Here is a 13102-nt window from a genome sequence, read left to right as displayed (position 1 = left end):
TTTCTTCCTCTATTATATGTCCATTCTATCTATCAAACTATTTAAGGAGTGCCTTTCATATAATTAATACTAACCATTAAACTACAACATTGAAGGAGCAATTGCTTAATTCTGAGGAAAATTTAAATTTATTACCAGTACCTGAGATAAAAATGAATACTAAAGAGAAGGAGAGAAACCCCCACAGAAGATAAATAGAAAGCCAAGTGGGATATTGACTTGATCCTTCTCCAGTGCAGGGTAATTTGGCTTCTAAAGTGAGTTAGAGCATAATAAATTAAATTTAGATTTCTGCACATCAGTTAAATAACTCCCAAGACAGAATTCCAGTGAGAGGAAGAAGGTGATAATACATGGAGGAAATATTAAAATGAAGATCTTATCTAATAATCCATAATTGATGTGGGGTCCCTCGGTGAGGGGAAAGGATTTTCCAGCTCTTTCCTTTGCATGAGCCCAGGCAAGCGAAGGGCTGGGTGCCCCTCCTTCCTCACTGGAACTTGTTCTGCACGCTGTGGGGAATGTCTGCCACTGACAGTCATCCTCTTCCCAGACCATCCATTCTCTGCAGGTGGGAGTTATATTAGCAGTATGATATGGGAGCATATGGTGATATGTTAGCATTTCACTGGGGATTATGTTGCACCGTCTCCCTCTCTTGGCTGGCCCTTGGAAAAATATAGTCACTCCCTAACTGGCTGGACAACAGAAAGGTATAGGGGTAAGCAGATACTTTTGTATTTTTATGACTAGCTGACAGTGGGGAAGAGTGGTCTTGTGGCTGACTGGAGCATCTGGTGATATGGAAGGAACACAGTTTTGAAATGAAAAGTCTTGGATTAGAATCTCAGTAGTGAGTTCACTTTTTTTTTTTTGAAATGGAGTCTCACTCTGTCACCCAGGTTGGAGCGCAGTGGCATGAACTCGGCTCACTTCAGCCTCCGCCTCCCCACTTCAAGCAATTCTTGTGCCTCAGCCTCCCAAGTAGCTGGGACCACGGGCGCACATCACCACGCCCGGGTAATTTTTGTATTTTTAGTAGAGATGGGGTTTCACCATGTTGGCCAGGCTGGTCTCAAACTCCCGACCTCAAGTAATCCGCCCACCTCAGCCTCCCAAAAGTGCTGGGATTACAGGGGTGAGTCACTGCGCCTGGCCTGAATTCACTGTTTATATGATTTGAAGAAGCCCCTTTGTTTCTTTGAGCCTCAGTTTTTTCATCTGTGAAGTGGTAACAGTATAACCAGCCTGGCTACTTCATAGGGGTAGTAAAAACGAGATATTCAAGTGAAAATGCTTCGCAGATTATAAACAATTTTCTTGGGCCTGTTTGATATTGACTTTCCATCATTATTATTTCATTTCTGAAAGTTTGATTTGGTTCTTTTTCAAATCGACCCAGCCATTTTTTGTCTTTTGTTCTTTACTAATTTTTATTCCATATTTTATTTTACTTATTTTTATTTGTATACATTTGGGGAGTACAAGTATAGTTTTGTTACATTATACCATATTTTAAACATTTTATCTACAGTTATGCCTTATTCTATATCTAGTATTCCTGTATCCAGAGTCCTTGGAGCATCTAAATCTGTTTATAGTTTCCACTGATTCTTACATTGTAGACTTGTCTTGTCTTATAGTGACTTGTTTCCTTGTGTGTCTGGTAATTTTGTATTGTGGTTTCATCTTTTGATGAGCTTTGTGGGAATTCTGGGGTCCTAAATTGGAGATGTTTTCCTCCACATAGGACTTACATTTGCTTCTTCTGGGAGCCAGGGTACAACTGATCTGGACCACTTTGTCCCCTTCTTGGGCTTAATTACAGAAGACTCAGGTTTAGCTTTTCCACCTTTTGGGAGCCACGGTTTATTTTCTCAGTGACCTTTACCCTGAGGGCAGCCTCACATTTTACCTCTGCTTATCATTCAACTACCCTACCTCTAGTTTCCGCATCCTGTATTTTTTTCCTGGCTTCACTCCTTCTTTCATGTTGAAGATTTTCCTTCTAGAAAGACCAGAAATGCATCAGAACCCTTGTAGAATCTAGTTATGGTTTAGCATGAAGAGTCCCCTGGGAGTATCTGGTTTGCCGTGGTGCTAGATAACAGAAGCTTCCAGCTAGTGGAAAGCAAGGGCACTCTGAGGGGTATCAGGTAGCCAGAGCTGGCTGTGGTCCTGGAGATAGCCTGGCTACATGGAGACGAGAACTCCAGGGCCCCACAGCTACTTAAAACTAGGTCTGTTGAAAAGAGGGAAGACAGTACAGGCTTTGAGACAGACATCAGTTGTGTGAACTTGGGCAAATCATTTATCCTCCCTGTGCCTCACTTTCCTCATTTGAAAATTGGGGATATAGTTTCTTACTATATCTTAAGTTTGTGGGGGTTAGAATTCACTTTAGGTACCCCTCACTCACTAGTTCCCTCTGGGATTCTAATAAGGGGAGATGTGATGGTTAATTTTATATGTCAATGTGGCCAAACCACAATGTCCAGATATTTGGTCAAATATTATTCTGCTGTTTCTGTGAAGGTGTCTTTTGGATGAGACTAACATTTACATTGGCAGACTTTGCGTAAAGCAGGCTGCCTTCCATAATGTACGTAGGCCTCATCCGATCAGTTGAAGGTCTTAAAAGAACAAAACTGACCTCCCCAAGCAAGAAGGAATTCTGCCAGCAGACCACCTTAGGACTTCAACTGCAGCTCTTCCCTGGGTCTCCAGGCTACTTTGAGGATTTTGGATTTGTACCTCCATAATCACATGAGCCAATTTCCTAGAAATCAATCAGCCAATCAATCAATCTGTCCTCTCAATTTCTGTGTATACACACACACACACACACACACACACACACACACACACAGTTGGTGATATTTTTCTGTAGAACCCTGACCAATACAGAAACACATACAAGAATCTGCAAACAAATGGGAAACGAATAATACTTTTATTAATTTCATGACCTGAGACAAGCAAGCTCCTCTAATCCTAAGGAAAGGCTTTGGGTAAAAGCTGAGTTGGACAACGTGGAATTGCCTGAGGATGAAGTGGAGCTTCCTATATCCCCACTTCAGCTCTAAACTAAGGGACCAGAACACTCAGGGTTTAGGGAGAGATGGTGGCACAGACCCCAGATCTACATATTCAAACAGCCGCTTGGGTGAGATAGGCTTGCTTCTAGAAAGTAAGCCTAGTGTGTGCTTACTACCTAGGGACAAATAGAACAGGACAACCTGTTCCACCTGGACAGTGGAAGTGCAGACTAGAGGGCTAGGCCATGGCTTTACCACACAGGAGTCCTGCTCACCAGCAAAACATGTGTGGCTCCAACCGGTGAGAATAGTTTTGCCTCTCTTGGGGAGGAGCATGAAAGGATGGAAAGAAACACTGGAAGTGTTTACGACACTCACAGCAATGCCCTGGATAGGGTTTTACGTGTTCTCCTGCACTGACTGTGCCAGGCTCCACACCATATTTTATTTTCTTAGGAGATAACTCTTCCATGGAAATATGATCTGGTGGGTGAGGAGAAGAGGGTTCTCCTCCTGATAAAATATGGTGTAGAGCCTGGTGCATAGTAAGTGCCCAGTGAATGGCAGGCATTACCATAGGCACAGCATTTTCACAGAACAACATCTGTCCATGAGACGTTGATATAAAAGGTAGCCTCTATGCTGGGTGATATCTCCCTTTTCATAGCACACATATGGCAGGGTCTCCACTGTGTTTGAATTCCTTGATGAACCCATCTGACTTCAGTTGGTCTAGAACAGTTAGACCCTTTGCTACCTGTTTCACACTCCTGTGTGTTAATTTTTCGGAGGTGCAAATCTCAGTGATGGTACCAGGGGTTGGAAGATCTGGGAAATATTATAATAGCTGCCACTAAATATTTGAAGACTATGAAAGAGAAAGATTAGACTAGTACCAAATGGCCATGGGGGCATAACCAGATCCAAAAGGGAGATATTACCAGGAGACAGATTCTTGATCAATATAAGAAGGACATATCTAGAAGTTGCAGTTCTTTAAGGTTGGAGTGGGCTATTTGGGACCTCTGTGTCACTAGCTGGACCCAGGAGGGATGTCCATGGGGCAGTGGCATGTTATGCTGAAGCTTCCAACGTTGGATGGATAGATTCATGATATCCTCTTTAAATAAGAATTTACATCGCTGTTTTCTACTCTGACCTTCTTCTACGTTAACCTGGCAGCACATCCCCGCCTTCTTGCAGGAATCCAGCTGCAGAATACCTCCTTTTTTGGCCCTGGCTGTTAGGAATAAGCTCACTGCTGGGAGGAGAAGGGTTTCTCAGCAAGGAGAGTGAAGAGTAGAGGGGCTGATGGTGAAGGGAGTGCAGACATCCTTTGAAGGAGGAATAGCCCGAAGCAAAGAAAGAAGTTGGCTGAGGAAAATGACAGGAAATGCACAGATAGTGAGTCTTTGAAGATGGTCCAAGAAAATGGCAGTGAGGCTGTGATAAGGCCGTGCTGCCTAATGGCAAAGAACATGGGGGCTGGAGCTGGCTGCCGGAGTTCTAATCCCAGCTCCAGCATTGACAAGCTGTGTGATATCAGACACAGGACTTGGGACCTGTTATTTCTGTGCCTACATACCCCCAATTATGGAAAGGTAATATTGGTACCTATTATTGTGAATATTAAATGTAAATAGTTATGACACATAGTAAGTATTCTTCCTGGGTGTTAGCTGATTTATTACAGGGTAAATTTGAGACGTTCTCTTCAGGATCAGACACAGTTCATGGTAGGATAGAAGCTGTATCAAAGGGATAAAGAGTTTCTCATTTTCAGGGTGAAAAAGAAGACAATTGGGACAGTAAGAGAGAACTAGTAGTACCAAGCTCAGGAAAGAAGGGAGAGAGACAAAAGCATGAGTGGGAATGTACAACAGCTTTAAATCCTAACAGAAGGGAGGGATACACCAGGATTTCAGAGCCAGATAATCTGCTTGAAGTGAGAGGGAGTAAAAACAGTCCCAGGGAAGGAAGGAGAAAAGGAGATTCAAGATTTCTCCTTGAAGCATGGTGGGAGGAGAGAAATTAAGCAACTTAACGGATGTGCCATCGAGCTTTAGTTTTTGATGCCAGATTATTTAAGCAATGGTCTTGGCCAGGGGTTTGGCAGACTTAACGAGACAGTTTCTGTTGAAAAGATTATGTCTTAGTCTTTCTGTGCCTGGCTTATTTCGCTTAGCATAATATCCATCCATGTTGTCACAAATCACTTAATTTCCTGCTCCTTTAAGGCTGAATAATGATCTCGTTTATATGTGAAGCCTAAAAAAAGTCAAACTCAGAGAAGTAGAGAGTAGAATGGTGGTTACCAGAGGCTGGGGGAGATGTTGGTCAAAGAGTACAAAGTCAGTTAGACAGGAGGAATAACTATAGTTAGTAATAAAAATATATTGCATATTTCAAAATAGCCAGAACAGAGACTTTTAAATGTTCTCACCATAAATAAATATTTAAGGAAATGAAAATGTTAATTAGCCTGATTTGATCATTCCACAGTGTCTACATGTAACAAAACATCGCATTGTACCCCATAAATATATACAGATATTATTTGTTAATTAAAAATAAAACTTTAAACGGGATAACGTTTGTGTTTTCTGTTTGTGGCATCATACTTTTGAAACACATTCCCTCTAGGTTGAATAAATTCTAGTCAGAAAGTGAAGCGGGGGCTTGCTTGGGGGCCATGGGTGCTGATGAAGGCCCCACAGGAGTGGGCCCAGTTCTGAGTGGAGCCCTTTGGGAGCTCCTGGGTATTTGTTCTTGTTTTCCCGGGACGTATCACTTCCTGTACCAGGGAAGTGTGGGAAGGTGAGCATGTGTGTTCAGAAGCTTTCCCGGATATTTGTATGAGCCAGGAAATGGAATTCACAGTATAGATACAATGTACTGCAAAGGCCCCATGCAGAGTCAGGGAGGAGGCTGGTGTCCTGTGATGGTGTGGCCAGAACACCCCACACTGTGCCCTCCTGTGGCACTTTGGGCTCTTGGAAGCTGGATGTGGGGACTCATGAATGGAAGAGCTTGGAAGCCAACTCCCAGGGTCTTTCTCTGCCTACCGACCCTCAGTAGAGGAGATGCTTCTTGTTGTTTCTGTCTTTGGTGTTGGGAGGTTTAAATCAGTGGTTCCATCACTTAACAGCCGATGACCTTGGGTCAGCCACCTAACCTCTCTAAACTGGTCCTGCCCTGCACATATAGGGGTTGGGTGAGGATTGCATGATGATATACGTGCAAGCTGCCTTATAAAATATAAAGTGCTATTGAAATAGTGATATTATTTTATTTTATTTATTCTTTATGTAGTGGTATTATTTTAAACACACCTTCACCATTATTTAATACATTCAGATATTGATGTAGAAAAGCCCAGCTCCCAGTATGGGCTGTTCCCCCTCAGGGGGTCTCAGTGCAGCAGACTATGACTGCGCTTTGTGCATATGACAGTCTGAGGGGAACAGGCCCCTCCGAGGACACCTTCCATGACTTCTTTCAATTTCTCATGCCAGCCTGGCTGCTGCTCTGGCTTGCTGGGGGACAGAATTCCAGAGTTCCAAAATTCTGGAGAGCTCACAGCACATGGTGCTCCCAGAAGGCACTGTAGCCAGGGATGCTGGGATGTTCAGCTGCCCTGTAGGGAAACCAGCAGCCTCGGGCCCTCTTGGGCCCATGCCTCTATCTGGTGTGAATAGAGAGTAGAGGGGGGGTGAGGCCAAGAGGTCAGTTGTGCCCACCCTCTCTGGTGTCGTCATGCGTGCCTGCCCCTCCACCTGCCTCTCCAGCACAGGGAGGCAATGACCCACTAGGCAGGCCCCAGTTCCAGCGTCCCTTCCCACCTGGCTAGATGGCTGAGGCCGCTTCCCAGCTGGTCTCCTTGTCCTCCACGTGTGGCCAGAGACGTTTTCTCCATGACCTGCTTCAGGCAGACTCAACTACATTCTGGAGTTTTCTTTCACTCATGTCCTCTTTGCAATCCACATTCCGGCCTTGCTATTCCTCAGTTAGCCATTCCCTGAACAGATTTTTTTTCTCTGGGCCTTCCTGCCTGTGATGGTTCATTTTATTTGTCAATTTGACTGGGCCACAGGGTGCCCAGGCATTTGGTCAAATGTTATTCTGGGTGTGTCTACGAGGGTGTTTCTGGATGAGATGAACATTTGAATCAGTAGACTGAAGAAAGCAGATTGCCCTCCCCAGCGTTGGTGGCCCCGTCTAATTCACTGAAGGTCTGAAAAGAGCAAAAAGGCTAAGAGGGAATTCCTCCTGCTGATGTCTTTGAGCTGCGACATGGCTTTTCCTGCGTTCAGACTCCACTGGAAACATCAGCTCTTGCTGGATCTCCAGCACCACAGATCCTGGGACTTGTCAGCCTCCATAATCACATAAGCCAATTCCTATTTATAATACATATTTTTCTGTGTCAACTTAAACTATATATATAAAAGATCATATAGTACTATGCAGTGCCCAGGTATGGTGGCCCCTGTAATCCCAGCACTTTGGGAGGCCGAGGTGGAAGGATTGCCTGAAGCTAGGAGTGCGAGACCAGCCTAGGCAACATAGTGAGATCCCGTCTCCACAAAAAATAAAACGTAAAAAAATGAGCTGGGCATGGTGGTGCACACTTGTGATCCCAGCTACTTGGGAGCTGAGATAGGAGGATCGCTGGAGCCCAGGTGTTTGAGGCTGCAATAAGCTATGGTTGAGCCACTGTACTCCAGCCTGGGTGACAGAGTGAGACCCCATCTCTAAAAAAAGAAACATTAAGCAATTTCATCCTTGTGTGTGAATGTCATAGGATATACTTACACAAACCTAGATGGTAGAGCCTACCACACACATAGGCTGTAAGGTATAGCCTGTTGCTCCTAGGCTATAATACAAATTTGTACAGCTGTTCCTACACCGAATACTGTAGACATTTGTAACACAATGGTAAGTATGTGTGTATCTAAACATATCAAAACAGAAAAGGTACAGCGAACATACAGTATTATAATCATATGGGACCACTGTCGTATATGCAGTCTGTCATTGACTGAAATGTTGTTATGCATATGTGGCTGTATACATATGCACATGAACACACACACACACACACACACACACACACACACACACACACACACAACATTGGTTCTGCTTGTCTAGAGGACCCTGACTAATATACTGCCTTTTATCTGGCTTTTTGCTACATACTTATTTTCCCTCTCTATCCTCCCTTAAGCAAAGTAAGATCCCTACTCATCCTTCAAGATCGAACTCATTTGACACCTTACTCAAGAAGCTGTCCCCAGTTCCCCTCACTCCTCTGCTCTCATAGCCTTGTCATCGTGCTCATGTAATTGAACTCACTTTGCGGTGTGTTACAGGCATCTCCATGCATGTCTCTCTGCAATGTTGCAATCCCCTCGAGAGCAGGGGCCTTCCAGCTCCACATCGCTCTTCTCTAGCTCGGAGCACCATAAGGGCTCACAACTTATTTAGAAAATTGTGATGAATTAAATTGGAAACAAGCCAGTGGGAGACAGTTCTATGGCCCTTCCCATGAGGATGGGATTTCAAGGTTACCGTGGGGTGATGTTCCAAGCAGAGGTCACAGCTATCAGGCTGTGACATTGCAAAACACAGGCTGGGGGTTTCTCACCCCCACCGATTTCCTCTAGAATGTTCTGTAGCCGCAGTATCACAGGACATTAATAAAATCAATTATTGGATAAAAATCTCTGGTCTCCAAAGCTTCATTTTATGCTATTAGCAGGAGAATGCTGTTTTTAAAAAGGAGGTAACAGAGAGAGAGAGATCAATTACTGGATAAGCTCACCATGGTGCCCAGATGAACATGCACACTGGCCAGCAGCCCCTCTTAACCTGCCACGTGGGCCAAGCCCCTGCACTGCTGTCTGTGGAGCCTGCCCTGGGCCACCCTGGTCAGGTTTCCCGAGTGCAGGAGGTGCATTCTACTCAGTAATGGGATGGGCAGCTCTCAGCTCAGTGCCCTTAGTTAGTACCCATGCAGCTTGAGACACTTGCACGGCCACTGGGTTCAGTAACACATGAATGAGCATCCCACCCTCAGGGACAATGTCAGCCCCAGCATACCAACAACCCTCATGTTCCAATCAGAACCTGATCAGCACTTTCTTCCTGGAAACACAGAGTCTTATGTTTTATGAACTTGAAAGTTCTGAGCTGTTTTAGATACAGACCAGCTCCTCCCCAGGGGTGAGAGTGCTAACATGCATTGGGAAGTGACCACCAAATTTAAGTGTCCAGCTTCTCAAGGCCTTGAAGTCCACACCTCCTGCTAGCTATGTGGACAGTCTGTTGGCTGTGGAACCGGTGTGGGCAGGGCAGACCCACACTAGGCAGCCTGGGCTGTGGCTAGGAGGCATTCCCTTGCCTCCTCTGCTGGAGGGGCCACAGAGACTGAGCTCTGCTTTGAGCTCTGCCCCTTCCCACCTGTGTGACCTCAGACAAGCCAGTCAACCTTTTGGAACTTCATCTTCCCTACTCAGTTCAGAAGGTTTGGGTGAAGATGAAATGAGATCATGAATACAGAAGCCACCTTACAATTCTGAAGTGCTCTATCCATGTACGGTGAGGGTTGTTACTCACTCCCCCATTGATGCTTCTTAAAAATACCAGATTCCTGGGTAGGAGGAAGAAAGGAACAGATAGGGTGGTGGTGAGTAGCACACCACTGTAGACGGAACTCCTCCTTCCTTCCCATCGCTGGCCCTTCTACAGCAGAGGAGGAATGACAGTCATTCATGAAACTCTGTGCCAGCCATGGGGCAAGCACTTTCATACCAGGTATTCTCAGATTGCCCTGGAGAGATGGCCTCTGGGGTTGGGATACTAGAATTGAAGTTCCAGTTCTGCCATTTCCTAACTGTGGGATCTTGGGCAAGGTACTTACCTCTCCAGGCTGTTATCTCATCTGTATAATAAGGGTATGCACAGCATCCCTCTCATAGAATTGCTCTGAGAACTACATGAAGTAATGTGAGTCAAGATCCTAGAACAGCACCCAGTATATAGAAGTGCTCAGAAAATGGTGGCAGCCATCGTTGTCATAGTTCTGTTTTTATTGTTGCTGATGGTTTAGTTTATGTTCTGCTTCTGACCCCATCTTTGAGCCAAACCTTGCCAGAATAAGCCTGGTCTCTGGGGTTGGGTACTGATAGGCAGACGGGGGCTAGTGGAGGACAGGGAGCCGTTCTCACAGACTTCCCATTCGTGTCACGCAGCCTTCGGACGCTGACTGGGACGACCTGTGGGACCAGTTTGATGAGCGGCGGTATCTGAATGCCAAAAAGTGGCGCGTTGGTGACGACCCCTATAAGCTGTATGCTTTCAACCAGCGGGAGAGTGAGCGGATCTCCAGCAATCGGGCCATCCCGGACACTCGCCATCTGAGGTACTTCCTCCTTCTCCCACTCTGTTACCCCCGCAGTCAAAAGAGATCAACAGCAGGCTTGATCTGGGGCCTGCTGTATGCAGCACCAGTGCTAAGAACCGGGCTGGACCATCTGCTGCCAGTTGAACACTAAAGGGATTCGGATTTGGTGATTGACCCTGGCTGTGTTGCCTACTGCTTACTGCTGAGAGCAATCCCAAACCCCGCAGGTCCCACCAGGAGGCTGGGGGCAGGGGTGGCCTCTTTCACTTTAACCTGCTCCTCACCTTAGGGATCATTTGACACGAACCCATAGAGCACCAAAAACACTACAGCCAAGGCCTGTTTTTCCCTGGCAGATTCCCACACCCGAGGCTGGGTTCCAAAGTAGGGGAAGGCAGGATGATTGGACCCTGGGGCAGGTAGGTGGGCGGTGTTTTCTGTGACTGGGAGAGAGCCTTCCAGTGCCAGCCGTTGGACATTTCACCATGTGAGAAGAGGAGCCAGCTTGCCATTGGTTCTTCTGTCTGCCTTTGGAGGGGCTCATTCACACAGCTCCATCCTGCCAGCCTTTAGTCAGGCCATGCCTTCAGTGGGTTGCAGAGATCAGGCCTGGAGCTACGTAGAAAGTTTTGTTTCCTAGCAAGCAGAGGCTTTGTGAAGACTTTCTGCCTCACGACCGACCCTTTATAGAGTCATAGCAGCCCTTATGCTCCCTGGTAAGACCTAGTAAGCAGGTCAGTCTCAATCTCAGCTCCTCCACTCCCGGGCTCCTGGCCTCCAAACTGGGGGCCCAGAAATGCCAAAGACCTGTGTGGGCCTTTCTTGTCTGCTGCAGGAAATTGACTTTGCACCAGTCTTAAATAGCAGACTGGCATGCTGAGAAGCTGTGGTACTGGTGTTAGCTTCTTAGCCTCTTATATTTGTTTGGGTCTGTGGGTACTCACATTGTGGAAACTGGGGTTTATGAGCAGTAGAGCAGGCATTTTCATGACTTATGAGGCTGATTCCTCTGGCAGTTCTTAAGATGGTACCCTGTGAAGGCTGGCGGACTCCATTTCCCCAACTAGGTTGCACTACTTGGAAACCTTGTCTTCTAAACAGCATGTATGCTTTGGAGTGACTCAACCAGTCCTTGTTAATCCCCATCATTGCCAAAAGCAGCTGAAGTATTGGTTTCCCTATGAATATAGCAAGGGGGGTGAACTAGATGATATTACAGCTTCTTCTAACTCTGACTTTCTGTGAATTTAACTCTCCCCTCGAGGGACCCATGAGGCTCTGCCTTAGCAGCAGTTCCTGGCAGTCCCCTACTGCCAAAGACCCAGAGCGTGGGCTATACCTGCTTACTCCCTTCTACTGGCCTGAAAGTGTCTGAAAATCAGAGTCTTGTATTATTCCTGTTTAAATTCCTGGGCACTTGTCCTACTCCTTGGCATCTGAGAGAATTTTATTTAAATATTAGGTTATTGTATTTCCCCGAGCAGAAACTGCAGATAGGAGAGAGGGGAAGAGGGAGGAGACAGGAGACAGGAACCTGAGAAGCTCCGCTGGGTCTTAGGCAGGTGGACCCTTGTCCTGAGTCCAGAGGCCAGGGCTTTCTTGAGGGACAAAGGGAGTTCTCCTAGCCAGGAAAGTTGCTGGCGCACCTGGATGACAGCCCCCCGAGAGACACCTGTGACTGCTCCCACCTGCAGAAAGAAGGCAACAAGTAATTCACTGAGCAGGCAGGTACTTGGGGATACCCTGAGCAGGACTAGTTTCTACACTTAACTTCTTCTACCATTTAGAGGCAGAAACTAACATTTTGCAAGGGCTAGGCATATGTGGTGGTAGGTGATGAAGAACTGAGCCTGTTTCCAAGGAGCCCAGCTCACGGTGTCCAGTTCCGGGCTTTGCACCTAGCCCAGTGTGTTCCGTCTGTTAAGAAAGTGTGATCTGCTGGGATTACAGCAAGAAGGGAAGAGAGGATTTAGACAGAATTTAGACTCCCTTTGGGAAGACAAAAAGGGAAAGTGTATCAGCCATATGTCTGCCTCAGGGCACGAGCCTTGCCCTGTGGGAGCTGGGATTGTGTTACTCAGAGAATTTCACACTTAAAGAACTTACTCTGAATGTGCATGAAAAGGAAAGGTCAGGTGATTGAGAATGAGGGCAAGCACATGGGACCAGCAGCCATCTAGGGATATAGATCACCTACTATGTGCAAAGCCCCAGGCTAGCACTGTGAGGGGCCACCAACTGGATCAGCAATCTCCAAGCCAAGTTTAGTCACCATACTGGTGTCACCCTTGTGGTGATGAGAGCTCCAAAGACTGCCAGCAAAGCCCTGTTTTCTTCTTTCAACTGGGCCCTTCCGTCTATAGGATCTCATCTCACACTTCCAGCTCTTAGTTCTCAGGGAAACCCTGACTCTAGGTTGGAGTCATCAGCTATGTCTCTTAATCCTTCTGTGATTCCAGCCTCCCCACTGTGTCCCGGCTTCATCCTGATGCAATTCCTGGAGCTTGCCTGTCTGGGCTGACAGGGCCCTGGGGCCTTTTGGGCCCTGTCTGCCTCAGAACTGAACAGCTAATGCTGCTGGTGACCTGTGTTCTGGGGACCAGGGATTCTCTGCAGCACTACTGAAATTTGGGGGTAGATAATACTTTGTTGC

At 46.3% G+C, this 13102-nt stretch overlaps 1 protein-coding gene across 13 annotated transcripts in view, besides 1 other annotated feature; it reads left to right on the top strand.

Annotated features, from left to right (window-relative positions):
- GALNT14 (polypeptide N-acetylgalactosaminyltransferase 14) overlaps positions 1–13102 on the top strand; it is a 251659-nt gene that overhangs the window by 135136 nt on the left and 103421 nt on the right. For 12 of the 13 annotated variants that reach the window (XR_007081588.1, XR_001738943.2, XR_001738941.2 and 9 more), the window contains one exon: positions 10298–10467. The exons of the other annotated variant lie outside the window; for it this stretch is intronic. Coding sequence is in view for 7 of the 12 variants with exons in the window: in NM_001329097.2 (NP_001316026.1) it covers positions 10298–10467 (170 nt within the window). In the remaining 5 variants the exon portion in view is untranslated. The remainder of the gene's footprint in view (positions 1–10297; positions 10468–13102) is intronic. 13 annotated transcript variants of the gene reach the window in all.
- Positions 10729–11229: an enhancer, noted in NCBI's record as "H3K27ac hESC enhancer chr2:31214942-31215442 (GRCh37/hg19 assembly coordinates)". NCBI's record gives its function as "activates a minimal SCP1, AML or CMV promoter by ChIP-STARR-seq in naive H9 embryonic stem cells {active_cell/tissue: H9 hESC(naive)}" and the evidence as "EXISTENCE:reporter gene assay evidence [ECO:0000049][PMID:30033119]".

The sequence above is a fragment of the Homo sapiens genome, chromosome 2 (assembly GCF_000001405.40).
Source record: "Homo sapiens chromosome 2, GRCh38.p14 Primary Assembly".
Taxonomy (NCBI): domain Eukaryota; kingdom Metazoa; phylum Chordata; class Mammalia; order Primates; family Hominidae; genus Homo; species Homo sapiens.
Note: the sequence above shows the minus strand (reverse complement) of the source record. Positions and strands in the feature narration are given on the sequence as shown.